General features: G+C 36.1%; 1 long non-coding RNA gene across 3 annotated transcripts in view; it reads right to left on the reverse strand.

The window, feature by feature from the left end:
• The window catches only part of LOC105377302 (uncharacterized), a 47,430-nt gene that overhangs the window by 8,540 nt on the left and 16,818 nt on the right, over nt 1-22,072 (reverse strand). For all 3 annotated transcript variants that reach the window (XR_938927.3, XR_938924.3, XR_938926.3), the window contains one exon: nt 6,008-6,067. This is a non-coding gene — a long non-coding RNA (uncharacterized LOC105377302). The remainder of the gene's footprint in view (nt 1-6,007; nt 6,068-22,072) is intronic.

Below are 22,072 nucleotides of genomic sequence, written 5' to 3' on the forward strand. Positions count from 1 at the left end.
AAAGATGGGGAAAAAACAGAACAGAAAAACTGGAAACTCTAAAACGCAGAGCGCCTCTCCTCCTCCAAAGGAACGCAGTTCCTCACCAGCAACGGAACAAAGCTGGATGGAGAATGATTTTGACGAGCTGAGAGAAGAAGGCTTCAGACGATCAAATTACTCTGAGCTACGGGAGGACATTCAAACCAAAGGCAAAGAAGTTGAAAACTTTGAAAAAAATTTAGAAGAATGTATAACTAGAATAACCAATACAGAGAAGTGCTTAAAGGAGCTGATGGAGCTGAAAACCAAGGCTCGAGAACTACATGAAGAATGCAGAAGCCTCAGGAGCCGATGCGATCAACTGGAAGAAAGGGTATCAGCAATGGAAGATGAAATGAATGAAATGAAGCGAGAAGGGAAGTTTAGAGAAAAAAGAATAAAAAGAAATGAGCAAAGCCTCCAAGAAATATGGGACTATGTGAAAAGACCAAATCTACGTCTGATTGGTGTACCTGAAAGTGATGTGGAGAATGGAACCAAGTTGGAAAACACTCTGCAGGATATTATCCAGGAGAACTTCCCCAATCTAGCAAGGCAGGCCAACGTTCAGATTCAGGAAATACAGAGAACGCCACAAAGATACTCCTCGAGAAGAGCAACTCCAAGACACATAATTGTCAGATTCACCAAAGTTGAAATGAAGGAAAAAATGTTAAGGGCAGCCAGAGAGAAAGGTCGGGTTACCCTCAAAGGAAAGCCCATCAGTCTAACGGCGGATCTCTCGGCAGAAACCCTACAAGCCAGAAGAGAGTGGGGGCCAATATTCAACATTCTTAAAGAAAAGAATTTTCAACCCAGAATTTCATATCCAGCCAAACTAAGCTTCATAAGTGAAGGAGAAATAAAATACTTTATAGACAAGCAAATGCTGAGAGATTTTGTCACCACCAGGCCTGCCCTAAAAGAGCTCCTGAAGGAAGCGCTAAACATGGAAAGGAACAACCGGTACCAGCCGCTGCAAAATCATGCCAAAATGTAAAGACCATCGAGACTAGGAAGAAACTGCATCAACTAATGAGCAAAATCACCAGCTAACATCATAATGACAGGATCAAATTGACACATAACAATATTAACTTTAAATATAAATGGACTAAATTCTGCAATTAAAAGACACAGACTGGCAAACTGGATAAAGAGTCAAGACCCATCAGTGTGCTGTATTCAGGAAACCCATCTCACGTGCAGAGACACACATAGGCTCAAAATAAAAGGATGGAGGAAGATCTACCAAGCCAATGGAAAACAAAAAAAGGCAGGGGTTGCAATCCTAGTCTCTGATAAAACAGACTTTAAACCAACAAAGATCAAAAGAGACAAAGAAGGCCATTACATAATGGTAAAGGGATCAATTCAACAAGAGGAGCTAACTATCCTAAATATTTATGCACCCAATACAGGAGCACCCAGATTCATAAAGCAAGTCCTGAGTGACCTACAAAGAGACTTAGACTCCCACACATTAATAATGGGAGACTTTAACACCCCACTGTCAACATTAGACAGATCAACGAGACAGAAAGTCAACAAGGATACCCAGGAATTGAACTCAGCTCTGCACCAAGCAGACCTAATAGACATCTACAGAACTCTCCACCCCAAATCAACAGAATATACATTTTTTTCAGCAACACACCACACCTATTCCAAAATTGACCACATAGTTGGAAGTAAAGCTCTCCTCAGCAAATGTAAAAGAACAGAAATTATAACAAACTATCTCTCAGACCACAGTGCAATCAAACTAGAACTCAGGATTAAGAATCTCACTCAAAGCCGCTCAACTACATGGAAACTGAACAACCTGCTCCTGAATGACTACTGGGTACATAACAAAATGAAGGCAGAAATAAAGATGTTCTTTGAAACCAACGAGAACAAAGACACCACATACCAGAATCTCTGGGACGCATTCAAAGCAGTGTGTAGAGGGAAATTTATAGCACTAAACGCCTACAAGAGAAAGCAGGAAAGATCCAAAATTGACACCCTAACATCACAATTAAAAGAACTAGAAAAGCAAGAGCAAACACATTCAAAAGCTGGCAGAAGGCAAGAAATAACTAAAATCAGAGCAGAACTGAAGGAAATAGAGACACAAAAAACCCTTCAAAAAATCAATGAATCCAGGAGCTGGTTTTTTGAAAGGATCAACAAAATTGATAGACCGCTAGCAAGACTAATAAAGAAAAAAAGAGAGAAGAATCAAATAGACACAATAAAAAATGATAAAGGGGATATCACCACCGATCCCACAGAAATACAAACTACCATCAGAGAATACTACAAACACCTCTACGCAAATAAACTAGAAAATCTAGAAGAAATGGATACATTCCTCGACACATACACTCTCCCAAGACTAAACCAGGAAGAAGTTGAATCTCTGAATAGACCAATAACAGGCTCTGAAATTGTGGCAATAATCAATAGTTTACCAACCAAAAAGAGTCCAGGACCAGATGGATTCACAGCCGAATTCTACCAGAGGTACAAGGAGGAACTGGTACCATTCCTTCTGAAACTATTCCAATCAATAGAAAAAGAGAGAATCCTCCCTAACTCATTTTATGAGGCCAGCATCATTCTGATACCAAAGCCGGGCAGAGACACAACCAAAAAAGAGAATTTTAGACCAATATCCTTGATGAACATTGATGCAAAAATCCTCAATAAAATACTAGCAAACCGAGTCCAGCAGCACATCAAAAAGCTTATCCACCATGATCAAGTGGGCTTCATCCCTGGGATGCAAGGCTGGTTTAATATACGCAAATCAATAAATGTAATCCAGCATATAAACAGAGACAAAGACAAAAACCACATGATTATCTCAATAGATGCAGAAAAAGCCTTTGACAAAATTCAACAACCCTTCATGCTAAAAACTCTCAATAAATTAGGTATTGATGGGACGTATTTCAGAATAATAAGAGCTATCTATGACAAACCCACAGCCAATATCATACTGAATGGGCAAAAACTGGAAGCATTCCCTTTGAAAACTGGCACAAGACAGGGATGCCCTCTCTCACCGCTCCTATTCAACATAGTGTTGGAAGTTCTGGCCAGGGCAATCAGGCAGGAGAAGGAAATAAAGGGTATTCAATTAGGAAAAGAGGAAGTCAAATTGTCCCTGTTTGCAGACGACATGATTGTATATCTAGAAAACCCCATCGTCTCAGCCCAAAATCTCCTTAAGCTGATAAGCAATTTCAGCAAAGTCTCAGGATACAAAATCAATGTACAAAAATCACAAGCATTCTTATACACCAACAACAGACAAACAGAGAGCCAAATCATGAGTGAACTCCCATTCACAATTGCTTCAAAGAGAATAAAATACCTAGGAATCCAACTTACAAGGGATGTGAAGGACCTCTTCAAGGAGAACTACAAACCACTGCTCAAGGAAATAAAAAAGGACACAAACAAATGGAAGAACATTCCATGCTCATGGGTAGGAAGAATCAATATCGTGAAAATGGCCATACTGCCCAAGGTAATTTACAGATTCAATGCCATCCCCATCAAGCTACCAATGACTTTCTTCACAGAATTGGAAAAAACTACTTTAAAGTTCATATGGAACCAAAAAAGAGCCCGCATTGCCAAGTCAATCCTAAGCCAAAAGAACAAAGCTGGAGGCATCACACTACCTGACTTCAAACTATACTACAAGGCTACAGTAACCAAAACAGCATGGTACTGGTACCAAAACAGAGATATAGATCAATGGAACAGAACAGAGCCCTCAGAAATAATGCCGCATATCTACAACTATCTGATCTTTGACAAACCTGAGAAAAACAAGCAATGGGGAAAGGATTCCCTATTTAATAAATGGTGCTGGGAAAACTGGCTAGCCATATGTAGAAAGCTGAAACTGGATCCCTTCCTTACACCTTATACAAAAATCAATTCAAGATGGATTAAAGATTTAAACGTTAGACCTAAAACCATAAAAACCCTAGAAGAAAACCTAGGCATTACCATTCAGGACATAGGCGTGGGCAAGGACTTCATGTCCAAAACACCAAAAGCAATGGCAACAAAAGCCAAAATTGACAAATGGGATCTAATTAAACTCAAGAGCTTCTGCACAGCAAAAGAAACTACCATCAGAGTGAACAGGCAACCTACAACATGGGAGAAAATTTTCGCAACCTACTCATCTGACAAAGGGCTAATATCCAGAATCTACAATGAACTCAAACAAATTTACAAGAAAAAAACAAACAACCCCATCAAAAAGTGGGCGAAGGACATGAACAGACACTTCTCAAAAGAAGACATTTATGCAGCCAAAAAACACGTGAAGAAATGCTCATCATCACTGGCCATCAGAGAAATGCAAATCAAAACCACTATGAGATATCATCTCACACCAGTTAGAATGGCAATCATTAAAAAGTCAGGAAACAACAGGTGCTGGACAGGATGTGGAGAAATAGGAACACTTTTACACTGTTGGTGGGACTGTAAACTAGTTCAACCATTGTGGAAGTCAGTGTGGCCATTCCTCAGGGATCTAGAACTAGAAATACCATTTGACCCAGCCATCCCATTACTGGGTATATACCCAAAGGACTATAAATCATGCTGCTATAAAGACACATGCACACGTATGTTTATTGCAGCACTATTCACAATAGCAAAGACTTGGAACCAACCCAAATGTCCAACAATGATAGACTGGATTAAGAAAATGTGGCACATATACACCATGGAATACTATGCAGCCATAAAAAATGATGAGTTCATGTCCTTTGTAGGGACATGGATGAAATTGGAAACCATCATTCTCAGTAAACTATCGCAAGAACAAAAAACCAAACACCGCATATTCTCACTCATAGGTGGGAATTGAACAATGAGATCACATGGACACAGGAAGGGGAATATCACACTCTGGGGACTGTGGTGGGGTCGGGGGATGGGGAAGGGATAGCATTGGGAGATATACCTAATGCTAGATGACACATTAGTGGGTGCAGCGCACCAGCATGGCACATGTATACATATGTAACTAACCTGCACAATGTGCACATGTACCCTAAAACTTAGAGTATAAAAAAAAAAAAAAAAAAATTAAAAAAAAAAAAAAAAGAGATCTGACCAAAAATCATATATATAAAATATCAAAATTTTATTTTTTTAGTTTTCAAAAATTTCCATGTTTCAATTTATTATCCATTTATTCACTTTCGTGAATTTCATAAAAATTTTTTAAAATGGATTCTGTAAATTTTTTAGTCTACTCTATTTCTGTTAAGAAATACATACTCTCTTTTAAAAAATTAACTTTTATTTTAAGTTCATGGTACATATGCAGGTTTGTTACATAGGTAAACTTGTTTCGTGGGGGTTTGTTGTACATATTATTTTGTCACCTAGATAATATGTCTAGTACCCATTAGTTATCATTCCTGATCCTCTCCCTCCTCCCACCCTCCACCTTGCAATAGGCCCCAGTGTATGTTGTTCCCCTCTACGTGCCCATGTGATCTCACTGTTTAGCTCCCAACTGTAAGTGAAAACTTGTGGTATTTGGTTTTTTGTTCCTGCATTAGTTTTCTAAGGATAACGGCCTCCAGTTTCATCCATGTTCCCACAAAGGACATAATTGCATTCTTTCTCCACACTATTTTTTAGAGAAAGGAAATAAAGGGGGGATATATGCGCAGAATATCACAGAAGGTCTCTAACTCTGTGATCCTGTGTTGTGGAAGCTGGCAGGCTCTCAGTCCCTGCTGAGGGACCTGTAAGGGACACATGGATGGAGCACAGCAGGGATGAGGTGGAAGCTCACCAACAACTTTTCTATTCTTTCTGCTAGAACAGATAAAAGCACAACATAGCCTCAAGACTCAACCCCAGCTGTATCTAGGTCCCAGCACCTTTTAGACCAGAGAGACAAAGAGCTGGAAATAAGAAGTAGGAGAAGGAATTTCATTCAAGTTACCTTTTCAGCAATCACCTGCTCACAGGTATCTTGGTTTATGGTATTTTCCAGATTATATTTCTATAATGAAACATATAAATAAGTGTTTTTATGAACTATTAAAGAAAAGCTATGCTAGCGAACAAGCGAAGACATACTTTAACAGTATTGACATTTTAAAGAAAATATTTCCAAAACCAATATGTGATGTAAGTCCAACTTTGAAAGTCCAAACTCTGAGTAGTTGCTCCAAATGAAATTGAATTCTGGGATTATATTGATCAATAGTACCATTTATGAAATTTATGCATTGTATCATTTTATCTATTGCAGAAAAGAAGTTGAAATGAGAAATATAAAAATTATTGGATATTTCATAATATAGTCATTATATCAGAATAAGATATTTTAAATATAATAGAATAATTGCATTATCTTGTATTAAGCAGAAAGAAATCATGCCTTTTTTTAAGCCCATAAAAGTTCACTTCTTATCTCTTGGTAATGCCCAAACAATTCTGAGAATTAAAATATGAGCTATTCATTCTTCTATTATGAAGAGTAAAGCATTTCAAATTTACTGACCTTTTCTGTGATGACAAGTGGCTGACAGGAGGATGCTACCTAGCAGATATTTTGGGGAAATTTTCAAACATATCCCTTCAAGGTAAAGGTAGCACTTTAACAACTAAGAAAGTAACTTGGACAGTGGAGAAGGCATCTTAAAATGTCCCCATTATTGAGTGATTAGTTTTAGCCCAAAATAAATAAAGATATATAATATTTTCTAATCTGGGCATGCTTTAAATTTAGAAAAAAAGTGTGGCTTTTGAAGTAGTTTGTTAACATTAATATAGTACTTTCTGATTACTTTGCAAGGAAAAGTGATTGACATCAGAGAAGGTGAAAATTTATTAGTCAAATTTCAATAGAAATAGTTTTACTATAACAGGGAATGGGATTTTAAAATTACATGATGTTTTAGTAATCACAACCAAAAATGTCTCCTCTCATTTGGCTCAACATATTTCTATAAAGTCTCTTTTTCGACCATGACAGTTATTATAACCATGTGTGGAAATAAATAATACTTAAGAACCAGAGCTTTGAATTTCTGTATTATAAAGTTTAAAACAGATTTGAAAAGCACATTTAGTTACATTGATTGCATTGCTCTCAGTCTTTTATTTTGGAATCCAAAATAAAATTATAATATGAGAAGGTTTTTGAAATAATAGTAAAAAATAAAATTAAAATATTTAACTTTATTTTTGCCTCATCTGTCTTTAATTTTTATTTTTCAGCATACCTTAAATGTATATATTAGTCTAATAGTACTGATATATAACTCATAAAACAATAAATAAATACATATTTGACAGGTATGCTCAAAATATTAATGAGTGCACTGTTAGAAAAATGTAAAGGACATTCCAATAAAGAGAGCAGAAGTAAACACAAATACTTGTAGCATGACAGGAAAACAGGGCAGAGGCTAAAAACTCTGCTTGTCACACCTAAGGCACAATACTTAAAATATGAGATGGTAGAAAATGATAAACAAGACTTCATCTTCTCAAGAGCTTACTTATTTCCGAAGACATTTTTTACAGATTTGTTTTTACTAATTAAAATATGACTGCCAGGATCCATTTCCCATTAGAATCAAGACAACATTGCTGGAAAAAATATAAGACTTTGTTGTCCTTTTAACAACTTCTTATCTCCATGGGATTCTGATGTATTTCATATTGAAACTAAAGGCAGAGGCTTTCAGAAAAAAAAATATATTTTTTTCTGAAAACACAGTTAACACTCAAATCCTTTTATTCTCTTTCTAATCCTACCCTATCCTATCCTTGGCAATTACATGACAGTATGAGGAAAGAGGGAAACTCTATTTTGAATAGATATTTTAATTAGGCTATAACTGAATATTGACACAACTCTAGGACGCATATCAAAAATTCTAAACATGTGTTGTTCATCTTTTGCAACTGTGTTTTAATTTTTAGGAAAAATGTATCTGAGCCCCAGGAATATATGTTTAGCAAAGATACTCCATTGCAATTAGCTGAGAATGAAAGAAACAAAGGGAAGTCAATTACAGCTGTCTGGTCATTTGGAACCTGGCAGCATTAACTGTCAGCTAATGGAAGAGGCTAGAAACTTTTGCTTCCTCAGACCTTCTTGTAATTAATATAGCTATTAATATTATACTTCACAGCCAGAAATCAATAAATCACTGACAAAAAAGGTAGTGCTTAAGATGCATGTGAAATTTAGTTCTTCATGAAACCTCAAAGACATCCAAACTGACATCTTCAGTGTTCCCATACCTCTGCATACATACTGAACTAATTCAACGTGTTCACAGCTCTACAGTCAGGAAATACAATGTTTAAAACAGCAGAATTGGTCCTTTTAAACAACGTCTGCAGCCTCTACAGAACAGAACATAGGGTATGCAAGGAGGCATTATCTTTTACAGAGCTGTGCATCCCCCTATGCACTATCTCCTCTTAGCCAGTTGCCTGAATGTGGAACATCTGTGTTTATTTTGCATGAGGAAGTTGTTCCTTGGCTTTGCCAAAATGAGCTTTGATGTGGGACTCTGGGTTTGTGGATTTTCCGTAGGGTGATGATAAAGCTCAAGTGGCAGGACATTGTTTTTGTATATAATGCATATTACATGAAGTCATCCATATTTAATGACAAGTGTGCTATATTTTTAATCTTTATAGCTTTAATGTGTGCGAGAGATTTTAATAATTGGTGCTGGGATGATGGTAACGTCCCAGAAATGCTCAGCACAACTGCTGTGGTTCTCAGCCCACAGTTTGCACAGGTTGTAAATTATGAAACTTGATTAGCAATAGACTTGGCAATATCTCTCATCTTTTGAAGATGCCAATCTGTAGCATCATGGGTACAAAATATTTTTATTCATACTTTTAATATTCACCTAGATAGCCTACATGAAAAACTCGAGAAGAAAAATGATGAGCTTTTCAGGGAAATTAAACTGTTTTTCTACAGACTTAGAATTCTACCTGCAAAAACTAAACAGTTTCACCTCCAAAATTGTCCAGTTAAAATTCTAATTTTTCTGTATATGGCAGCAGAGTTTTAAATATTGTGGATATGTATTCTGTAATGTTTCTGGTTTTTTTTTAAAGGCTTTGTGAAGAAATCATATTATTCACAATCACTAATAGGTTACAGTTAGAAATTTCAGAGATCTAACAATTTTGGTAACTTTCATTTTCAACAGTATCAATTTTTGCTTAAATTTTTCCTGTACTCTTGGTCTAAATTATCTATTCCTCAGTTCAGCAATCAGTTCCCTAATGTTGAAAGACAAGATCAGTCAGTCCAATGAGTATTTACTGAGCATATTAGGCCATTCTTGCATTGACATAAAGAAATACCAGAGGCTGGGTAAAAAAAGAGATTTAATGGGCTCAAAGTTCTGTAGGCTGCACAGGAAGCGTGGTGCTGGCATCTGCTTCTGGCGAGGGCCTCAGGAAGCTTACAATCATGGTGGAAAGCCAAGGGGTGTCAGCTGGTCACATGGTGAGAGTGGGAGCAAGAGACAGTGTGAGAAGGAGGTCCAGCTTTTTTAAAGAACCAAATCTCAAGTGAACTAAGAGCAAGAACTCACTGATCACCAAGCGGGTGGTGCTAAGCCATTCTTGAGAGATTCACCTCCATGATTAATTCACTTCTCTCCAAACCCTACCAACAACATTGGGAATCACATTTCAACAAGAGATTTGAAGGTGAGAAACATCCAAACCATATCATTCCATATTTATAGGCAATAAAGAACATCATTGGAGACCCTAGATCCTGCCCATCTACCACACAGCAAAGCAACTATTACCCATTCCCACCCTTATTTCCATCACAGCATAAAATGGAGGATTTACTGTCTGTCAAACCGAGGGGACTCTGGGCATGGGACCACCCAGCTCAGATGAGGGTATAGAGAATATAGCAAACACTTAGGGGTTATGTAAAAGACTACATATAAAAATGAAACACTCCAACCTCCTGGCTCAAACTGTCACAGTCAGCTGAATGATTGTTGGCAACCAGTTTTATATCTCCCAGAAGGGCTAAAAAATAGTTAAGTATTAACATTTGAGTGTACCACCAATGAAAGGTTGTATTCCCAGCAAATCCCTCACTAGTGTAGCTGCTGTGCAACAAACTTCATTTACATACAAAATCTCCAAACAACATTTTACTACCTACTTTGTAAATATCGACGGATAATCAAGCATTCACCAGGCAAGAAAAATTCATGCCACACTGAAACTGAAATTATTATCATCAGAATATTTAATACATTAAACAAAATAAACCCAGCATGTATTTAAAAGGAAATTTCAAGAAAAAAAGAGCTCTGGGAAAAGTAAATATACAAAAGAAAAATTGGAAGATAAATTTGAGGAAACATCCAGAAATTAAAATAAAATCGCCAAGATATAAAATATAGGAAAATAAAGATGAGAAAATTAGAAAATCTGTCCAAGTAATTCAATAATTGAGTAATAGGATTCCAACAGAAAATAACAAAGAAACACAAATCAGATAATTATATTAAGAATACCAGAAAATATCTCAAAACTGAAGGGCATGCATATGAGACTAAAAGTGCACCAAAAGTATTTACCACTATAGATAAAATAGAGACACAATGAAGCATTAGATCAAGCAATTTCAGGTAAATGGAAATGAAATAATCTTTAAAACATTCAAATGTATGTGTGTGCACACACAATTATAAAAAGATCTGGATTCAGGATGAATTCAGATCTCAGTGGAAATATGGAGAGCTAGAAGAAAATGAAGCAAATACCTAAGCAATTCTGAGGGGGGAAAATCATACTACGATTTTATATCCACTCACATGGTCAGTCAGGAGAAAAATGAGGACATTTTTTTCAAGCACACATTCCTCAAAAAATGTAGCTTCTGTGAAACATTTCTCATTTAGCCACTGGAGGATATGGGCTATACTAAGTTAAAAAAAAGATATAAGATACAGGAGACTGAAAACTCTTATCAAATACAGGAGGTAAATCAAGAAGATTTCCAGAGTTTATGGGGATCAAAAATTCTGGGATGAGAACTGTATATCAAGCTTAGAGAAAAATCATTAAAAATTAGAACAGGAAGGTGGTGGAGTACCAAGGCTATATTTGAACATATCGCAAAAAGTTTTAAATTTCTGGCATAGGGTTAGGGAAGAATTTGAGATAGCTACATCTGAGATTAAATAAATGGAAATATAAGGCAAATAAAAACTCCAGGGAAAATAAAAGTACCTTGTAAAATTTTTCTTTGAAAGAAAAATAATGTAAATTATTGTACATCACATGAATCATCTGTAAATAATATAACACACTTACAATAACTAAGCAATAAATTAAATATTAATTTAACAAAAAAATTGATGAATTAATTACATTGGGGAAAAGAATAAATTACCAAATTTTCATCTTGATAATTAAGTAGTCAATACATAATGTCTAAAACTGAAATATCAAAAAGTAGTGGCAAAGGGACCTAGAATAGTTAAAATAATTTTGAAAAGATTAACAAACCTGGAGAGTTTATACTACCTAAGACTCGTTTAAAGATATAGTAATTAAGAGAGTGTGCTATACACACAAAAATATTTAAATAGATTCATGAATCAAAAAAGAGACTCCAGATAGAGACCCACATGTATATGGTCAATTGATTTTTAACAAAGGTGCCAAATAATTTAATGGAAATGATGGCTTTAAAAAAAAAAGTTGTACTGGGTTAATTTAATATCAGTACAGAAAAATAGTCCTTCATCATATCTCATACTATGCTGAAAAATTAATTTGAAATGACTCGCATCCTTAAATGATAAACCTAAAACTATAAAACTTCTGAAAGAAAAATAGTAGAGAATCTTTGTGACTTAAGTTAGGCAAAGATTTCTCAGAAAACAAAAAGCACTCATAAAATAATTAAAATGATAAATTGGCCTTTAACAAAATCAGTAAGCTTTGTTCCTCAAAAGAAAATATATGAATGACCAATAAGCATATGAATAAATGTTCAAAATCATTACTTTCTAAGAAAATGTAAATTAAACCTTGAGATATGACTATACATTCTTGATAATGGCTAAAATTGAAAATGCTGACAAAAACAAGTGTTAGTGATAACATAGAACTGGAACTTGCAGGACAGTTCTTCCGTGTGCCTATACCAACCCATTTCTCCCCGTTTTCTTGCTTGTAGTTCTCAAGAGTAACTGTAGAATGTGCTGGGAATGCAGTATCATAAGTTGGGGGAAACTGCTTGAAACAGTTCAGGTCTTGTTCCTGACCATGCTGAGAAATCTTGAGATAAGGAAAAACTGCCCAAGACAGCTAAGGCTTTGTGTTCACTCCTCTGGAAGCAGGATGTTCTTCAAAGTGTTGCCAAGTGATTCATGTTGCCCCAAAGCTATCAAACCCAAGGCAGGTTGTTTTTTAGGGTCACTCAGCCGAGATGCAAGCAGGGCACACAAAGTCAACACTCCATCTGCCCTAAGTAGCTTTCTTGAGCCTTCAGGACTGGCTCCCAGTGGACTTGAGACTCCTTTCTTCCCTTGCCTACCTGTAAGTAATAAGCCCACCTCATATGTCTTGTTATGTGTGAATGTGCTCTGTCTCATAGGACTTAGACAAATTGGAAGCCAGTGCATGGTGGACCTAAACAGTAGCCCAGGATGCAGTAGGCACAGTATTTGAACTTCTGCTCTTGGTTGTTGGCACAATGATGATGTTGCCACTCTTGATGCACCCTTGGGATTGGTAATTAGTGAACCTGCTTTAGAGAACTCTCATACACTATTAGCGAGAGTTTAAATAGTACAACTTTAAAAGTGTTTTGGCAGTTTCTTACCAAGTTAAATGTATACCTACTGCATGACCAATCATTTCACTACAAAGATAAATGAAAACATATGTTGGCCGGGCACGGTAGCTCACGCTTGTAATGCCAGCACTTTGGGAGGCTGAGGCGGGTGGATCACGGTGAAATCCCATCTCTACTAAAAATACAAAAAAATTAGCCGGGCATGGTGGCTGGCGCCTGTAGTCCCAGCTACTTGGGAGGCTGAGGCAGAAGAATGGCGTGAACCCGGGAGGCAGAGCTTGCAGTGAGCAGAGATCACGCCACTGCACTCCAACCTGGGCGACAAAGCGAGACTCCGTCTCAAAAAAAAAAAAAAAAAACAATAAAAAAGAATACATATGTCTACACAAGACTTGTGCACAAATATTGATAGCAGGTTTAGTCCTACTAGTCAAACACCGGAAATAACTCAAATATCCACCAATGAAAAATTGATTTGAAAACTTGTAGCATATCCACATAGCTAAATATGACACTTCTATACAAAGGAAAAAAATGCTGATACATTCAGCAGCATGAACGAATCTCAAAATTATTTTGCTGAGCAAAAGAAGCGAGAAACAAAAGAAGACATGCTATGTATGAAGATATAGAACAAGTAAAACTAATATGTAATTCTATGCTGAATAAAATGATATCAGTGCCTTGGGTCAGAGTTGGGTAGAAGAATTGACTGGAAAAGAGCACAAGGAACTTCCAGGGGCAATCAGTGTTTTGTCTCTTGAATAGGGTGGTGAGACCAAGGCTGTACACACATATCTAAGTTCATTAAACTGCACATGTTGTGTGATATAATAAATTATAGCTCAGTAAATTTGTTTTATTAAAAATAGTGATATAACCTCTGTTATTTGGAAATATTGAGGTACATGACCAAATAATACAGATAAAAGAATTGAAGAGTTGGAGATTGGGAGTAGGATTTCAGATTTAGAGTAGATAATGGCATTTTTTGTTTGTTTGTTTTATGCCTTGTTAAATGACTTGGGTTTTAAAGTTATGTATAAATTAATTTACATACTTATACAACTGTAATTAAATAAATAACCTTCCTATTTTCTAAATCATATGAGTTGTGCTCCAATTACATCTCTTTTGTTAAGCTCTTTGATCTTGGAAAAGACATTTCACTTCAATACGCTTCTCTGTGAATATTCTTATTCACATTATCAGGAATAGAAATATCCGCTGCCTCATAAATAAGTTGTGAAGTCAAAAACTTATATTTTATGTTAAGCACTTAGTAAAATACCTGGCAAATACTAAATAATTTTTTTTTTCTTTTAGATGGGGTCTCTGTCACCCAGGCTGCATTGCAGTGCCACCATTTGGGCTCACTGCAACCTCTGCCTCCTAGGTTCAAGCAATTCTCATGTCTCAGCCTCCTGAGCAGCTGGAATTACAGGCATGTGCCACCATGCCCAGCTAATTTTTGTATTTTTAGTGCAGATGGGGTTTCACCATGTTGGCCAGGCTGGTCTTGAACTCCTGACCTCAAGTGATCCACCTGCCTCAACCTCCCAAAGTGCTGGGATTAAAGGTTTGAGCCACCATGCCCAGCCTAAGCTTATAGAAGATTTTAACCACTAATATTATTAAATATTTCTATCTTTCCCATTTCCATATCTCACAAATTCCTTTAACAACTACAACAGTCCTAATTTCTTTCTCCTTCCTCCTCATGCTTTTCCATATCTCTAGTATGGAATATTTTGACTATTCAGGGCAAGTCCAAAAAGTGGCCACATACATATTATCAGTGTAAAACAAAAGTATTTGTTTAACAACTATATCCAATTATTAGTCTCGATTTTTTTTTTTTTTTTTTGAGACAGGGTCTTGATCTATGGCCCAGGCTGGAGTGCAGTGGTGTGATCATGCATGACTGACTGCAGCCTCGACCTCCTGGGCTTAAGTGATCCTCCTGCCTCAACTACCCAAGTAGCTGGGGGCATCAGCTGCACATCACTATGCCCAGCTAATGTTTTTATTTTTGTAGAGACAGGGTCTCGTGATGTCGCCTAGTGTTGCCGAGGCTGATCTTGAATTCCTGGGCTCAAGTGATCCTCCCATCTTGGCCTCCCAAAGTGCTGGGATTACAGGTGTGAGCTACCACACCTGGCTTGATCCTTTTCTTTGGTCACATTATTAAAAATTGCAGGTAACTCCTTACTTTAATAAATCATTATATGAAAACTGTTTCTACCAGTGAGCCTTTCCTTGAATAAGACTGAATACATATTCCCTGAATACTGAGAAATTAGAATTTGTTTCCTATGTATAATAATTCACCAGGGTTTCATCTAAATTTTAGTACAAGGAGGAAAATGATAAACAGTGTCTCTTCTGTGAGGAAAGACAGGCTTTCTTTTATATAAAACTTGTGATATACACAATCCAAGATATCTAAAGATTTTAGAGGATTAGTCATTTTTTCACTATTTTAAAAATCATCTACATTGTCCAGTATGTATGTTAGATTGTGAAATACAGTGATGGGTAAGATACAGATGCTGTCTTGGAAGGCTGATAGGCTTCCAAGCCTATGCTAAATGCTATGAACAGAATAAATGCATAATGTTATGAGAGGTCATCATGTTATACCCTCAATAGGAGGGATGTTGAGACCGTATAGAGAGACACAAGGGGCTTTCCAGAAGAAATACCATCAAACAGAGGGTAGCAGAGTGGGTAGCAGGCAGGGATTTCCACACTGGCAATACTGCATACTAGCTGTGTTATCCTGTAAATCTAATAAGAGCACCTGTCTCATCATGTTTGTGATAATAAGATAGTGCCTAGCATATGGTAAATGTCAATAAAAATTTTTTCGCATTAGGAGTTATTTCTAACAGTTCTCGTTCAACTAACTGTTTATAAGTGAAACCAAAAATTGTTGCTATGCAAAAAAAGAAACTGTTTCACAGGACAGCGTTAACACAGGCCTGGAGACTTGCTTTTGCTTGGAAAGAACTACACAAACCTCATTGCCTGTACCTGTACTTTAGCTACAGTTACTTTATCACCTATTAAGACTACCTTTAACTTGCCACTTCAGTTTAAAGTGATGAATAATAAAATATGAAAATTTAAATAGTTACAAAATATAATAAAGCAATTTTAAAGATTAAAAGCATCTTTTTTTAAGTAAAAACAATTTGAATAATTTGTATTTAAAATCTATATCCTCCCAGAAAAAAAATTAACATAGATATTTCATGGCTATATTAGGCTCAAATTTATGATCAAATAATTACTGAGTTTTACAGGGCCTAAATTAATGCATTTCAGTGTGCTTAGTCAGCCTGAATGAATGTGTTCACCAAAGTCTTGACAAACTTGAATATCTTACTATTTATGGAGCTCTAGTCATATTAATTTTAAACATTATTTGAAGATGTTTTAAAATAATTATATATATTATCTGAATAATTTATATCAGAATATTTGAGATTTATTTCTCCTTGGAAAGGGATAGTTTTAAGTTCAATCATGTTTCTATTTTTTAAGTTTTATTGATGGCCGAAGACACTGATTTTTTTTCCATTGTCTATAACTTATGTAGTTATGTGCTTTATTACAAAATTTTTTTAATTTAGAAAATAAACAAGAAAATAGTAATCATGATATCCTGTCACCTAGATATAATTATAAACCTCTTTCCCAATGTTGAAGTACCCCAGGAGACAGTCCTTCCCTCCCTACAGGCTAAACATAGCAGTCATAAAAGGCCATAAAAGGTGATACTTATAAATCCAAGTCATATCTTATCACTCAGCTTCCATAAGACATATATATATTTTATATATGTACACACATACGTATACGTTTTTTGGGTCACCAAGTCCATATGTGCCTCTTTAACTTTTCTGAATATTGACAAAGTTTTCACAAGGAAACTTATATGAGACTCCCAGGGCTCTCAAGGTTGTCTAATGCTTAGTATTGACAAACATTTTCATTTTTTTGCAACATGATATTTTAATTTTTGGTTACCTGACTACAAGTGATGCTGAGCATCTGTTTACAAATGTATTGGTCATTCAGCCTTCTACTCCTAAAAACTGTATATCCTTTCCCATTTTTATTCCTTTGTCACTTTATTTCTGATTTATATGAGTTGTGTGTATTAAAACTGTCACACTAAATTTTGATTAGTTTTAGCAGTTACAGACATTTTTTTCCCAGTCCGAAACTTGTCTTTTCATTTTAATTAAGGTATCTTTTTTAATGTACAGAAGCTTTCTATTTTAATACCAGTTCTATTTGTGGAGTAACCGGCATCTTCTTCCACGATATCTGCTCATATATATTATAAACAGGTGACAAATAGGTATGTATGGTCAGTTTTCTCTGTTTTATTTTATCATATAACTTTAGTCACTCTGGTCTTATAGTTCAATATCTTGCACAGCATAATTTCAGTATACGTTTAAATATCTTGCACAAAATAATTGTTCTCCTCAATTCAAAACTTTATTAATGTCTATTGGCAAAGTTACAGACTTTTCTTCACTGTTCCTACATACTGTTAATCTTGTTCAATATGTTTTTTCTAGCTACCGTGAGATTTTTCCTAATCTTATTTCAAATTCATTATTATAGATATATAAAGAAGAATTGATTTTTCTCCGTTTTTCTACTGGTCATCTTACATAATTCTTATTATTTCTAATATTTTCCACTGATGTTCATAATTTAACACAAATGTCTACATTTTAAAATATTATCTTGTTTCAAATAACTATATAATTTTATTTTCTTGTTATATCACGATGACCAGATCTTTTAAACAAATAAAGGTGAACAAATAAAGGTGATCACAGATATCTTTTCTTTCTGACACTCTTAATATTTAATCATCTTAAAAACAACAAGGTAGATAAAATATATAAACAATCTCGCTGTAGTCTCATCTCAGTTTTGGGCAAATCACATTTATCATCAAATCACATTCCCTGGTTACTGAGACAATAAACTGGTTTCGTTTGTAAGTCAACCTCACTGAATATGTTCATAAAGCAAATAATTGAAAGGAAATGAGGCAAAAGCCAGAATTATTATAGTTTAAATCATTAGGCCCAAATAGTCTATATTGAAGCATGATATTTCCCTGACCCCTTCTCAGGACTCGTGACAAGAGTGCCCCATTTACTCATCCCGCTGCTCTCAACTCCTCACAGTAGGGAGTACACGAGTAAATGAGGCAGGAACTGGAGTACATGAGCTCTGGAACCAGTTAGCTGCTTCGGCACCGGCCGGAGCAAACTGCACTCACTCAGATTCGCTGCGTTCCACCCTTCGCGGGAGGTGAATGGGTGCTGGAGCCAGGGCCAGTGCTTTGAGGCGCCAGCAGGAGCAAACTCCATGCAGGCCCCACGGCACCATCTGGGAGGGTACCTGCCACCCATGAAGCCCCAGAGGGCATGTTACAGTTCTCTTTTAGCTCTGACATCTGCGAATGGCTTCAGTGTAAACAGCTCAGTGGGCCTTTTTGCATCTGCACTCTCGGCTCCCGAGCTCTTGTCCAGGGTCCAGAAAAAATGAAGTCACGTGAACGAATTGAAGGATGGTAAATGCGGGGGATTTTATTGCCAATGAAAGTGGCTCTCCGCAGAAAGAGGGACTGAATAAAGGACAAGGCGACAAGGTAATCTTCCCCTGAAATCCGGCCGTCTCCGGCCAGATTCTTCTCCGAAGTTACTCTGTCAAGCAGCTTCTTTCTGGTGTCTAGCCATGGTCCTTGATGTCCAGCCGCTTCTCCCCTCTGCTGGCTGAGTCTGTGGCCTTTATAGGTATAGGATGGGATGGCGCAGAGCTATGGGTGGTTTAGGAAAAGGCAACATTCAAGCTGGAAAGAGGGATATAAGTTCTCACTTAATGCCAGGGTCTCAGGCTTTTCGGCTTGAGGCTCGGGGCTTCATCAGGGAACCCGCCCTTTTCTGCATAGAATTTATCTGCCTCCTATCCCTATTAATATATTTCATGAGAATATATAAAGAGATAATTCACGGAAAAATTAAATATATTTAATCTCATAATAAAGAACTTTTAATGAAAAATAATAAAATATTTTTCTACATAAAACTAGCAAAGATAAAAAAATCGAATATTTTATGTTGGCAAGGGTACGATGAGATAGGTCTAGTGTACCATACTGTTAATAATAATTGGAACATAATTTTTGGAAATTCCTTTTAAAATCTGCATTTGGGTACAATTTTGCATAGTGTAGCTAGAGTAGGTAATAGACCTACTCTATTTCAGTAGAATTGGGCAATTGTGCGATTAGGAAAGTTTATCAATATAGCAATCCTTCAACCTCTGTCTTGCGGCAATTTCAAATTTCCACTTTCAAGCCCCAGTAGAGTTGCTCATGTTCTTCATGATCTCACCATGTGCTCAATTCTACCTCTTGATTTAAGTAATCTCTTTAGAAATAAGAATGTTTTAAACAATCACTCCTTTAGAGTAAACTTACTTGCAATAATATTTCAGTTTAAATATTATAAATGGGGTTACTTTTTTAAGCATTTAAATAATATGGGATGGTATTAATATTTGGAAATGATAAGGTCTTATGGCTAATATTTTGGGGATAAGAAGCCACATACTCATCTTGCTTCTACAGTTGAGCCTAAGACTAGAAACAGAATTTTTATTTACTCATTTATTTTTGTTGGCGGCCTTTTTTTCCTTTTATTATTTTTTTTTTAAGAAAATGACTATTGTTTTGGTAAAAATTCTTTTTCTGAGACTGAGTCTCACTCTGTCACCCAGGCTGGAGTGCAGTGGCACAATTTCGGCTCACTGCAACCTCTGCCTCCTGGGTTCAAGTTGATTCTCCTGCCTCAGCCTCCTGAGTAGCTGGGATTACAGGCATGTGCCACAACACCCAGCTAATTTTTGTATTTTTAGTAGAGACGGGGTTTCGCCATGTTGGCCAGGCTGGTCTCAAACTCCTGATCTCAAGTGATCTGCCTGCTCAGCCTCCCAAATGTTTTGGTAAAAATTCTATGCCTAGTCAGAGTACAGTGGTGGAATCTGGAGCCTGACCACCTGGGTTTAGCTTCTTTCTTGGCCATACATTGGCTGTGTGACAGTGGGCAAGCGGTTAAACCTTGAAACATAATTTTTAAATGAAACATTATTTCTATATGAATTTTTTTGTGTTTGTATGTGCCAGTTGGTCAAGAATTTAGTGTAAAATAAAAGGTGTTTCCTGCCACCTACTTCATTCCTTTTAAACTATTAACTCAAATCTCAAAGCCATAGATTTCATTGAAAGCATTTCCGTAAGGCAAGGTTCCCCAAACTGTGTTTTCTAGAACAACAACAAAATGTTACTGGGTATTTGTGGAGAAATGAAGTCAACTAAGTTTGGAAAAAGATAGGCTCAATGAAGCTACTTGTATTATATTTCATATGATGTAGTAAAACAATTTATATTAATGTGAAGATTTCACAAATGCAAAATGAAGTTTTTATCAAGATACTTGTATGTGGAACTTTATATACATATGTAGTTTACTGAAGGCAGCGTATGTGACACTTCCTTCAAGATGTCTTTGCAAGTGAGCTTACTCAGACCTTGATATTCCCATGAAATATCAGGAGGGTGATTTGAAGATAACTGCTGTGAACTTTCCATCTCCTCCTTTCTTTTCCCCAAGATATAAATTAGTAAAATAATTTCATAGCTCTCCATTGAAAAGTAGGGACTCCTGGTTAAGAAGTGAAACAGTTTCCTACCATTTAGAACTTCCCTTTTACTCTCATTTGACGATGTAGATACCCATTAAAAAAATAAATCCATGTCTCAGGGAATCCCTTCTCACAAAATAGCTTGGGAAGGCAGTGGTAATGATTTGTGAATGGAAAGGGAACTGTAAGGAAATAAGTTGAGACAATGCTTTAAGAATTTATTGCCAGGATAGTTTTCAAGAAACAGGAACTTCCTGTTAATTTTCTGGGATTCAACAAAATGGGCTTCTGACAACTGAAATAACATTAGACACATAATTAAGCTTTTAAACTTTGAGTGGGTTGCATTGTCCAATTATTTCCCCTGGCATTTCAAACTCACACACCATTGAACAAGCACAAATCCAAATGTTCAAAACAAATATGTGAGGGTGAATGAAACAGACGAGACAGGGTAATTCTTTACTCAGAGGTAAACTGACGATGATGCTTGTGAAGCAATGAGAATTAAATAGAATAGAAATTTAAAACATCAAGCATGCATGCCTGGAAACATAAATAAAATAATGAGACTGGAGTGCCCATAGTGTTCCCTACTATCAAGTGAGATCTCAACAAAAAGTAAAAGAATGAGATTTTTTAATGGACATTATTGAAACTGTAAGAAAAGTAAAGTAACTTTTCTTTCCTAATTTGGAAGTTCCAGTTACTACACTGAGAGCTGCTGTCAGAGTACTTCGTTGCTACCCTACCTATTGCTGATCCCTAGTTCCTGGCACATTGCCCAGAGTAGACTAACTTCTCAATTTACCTTGGGGGTGTAAATTAACCAACCATGAGGTATGGGATGAAAGAGTATCAGGACTCATTGGATCTTCTTAAACATGGACCTAAGGCTATCACTGAAGCAACCATGTGACCAATTGTAATATGTTTGTTAAAATGGATTGGGAGGAAAAAATCTCAGAGCAAATTAACACAACTTGGAAAACAGAGAAGAAAGAGGGAGGATGTAAACATGACTGTAAATGTACTAATTTGTTCATATTTCATAGTGAGTGTTCATTAGATATTACCTCATTTCTGAGGGTGATAGACTAAGAAATATAAATCTTACATTATTACTTAAGTTTATAACAATAACCTCTACTAGAATTAAAAACAGAACTACACCTTTTCCTAATTACTCAAAATAACTAAGCATAGATAATAATGTAAGAAACAAACCCTTATACACACAAAAATAACAAAAAATAAGATAGCAGAAGTGAAATGAAAATATTGTTTCAAAGATTGATCTAAATGTAATAAACTCACATATTAAATGGAATGGATAAAGAAATACAAGAAAGTCTCATTATAACTATATACTACAGATCTACCTAAAAGAAGACTCAGAATGATCCATGGTAATTGATAGGATAAGAGACC

The sequence above is a fragment of the Homo sapiens genome, chromosome 4 (genome assembly GCF_000001405.40).
Source record: "Homo sapiens chromosome 4, GRCh38.p14 Primary Assembly".
NCBI classification, from domain to species: domain Eukaryota; kingdom Metazoa; phylum Chordata; class Mammalia; order Primates; family Hominidae; genus Homo; species Homo sapiens.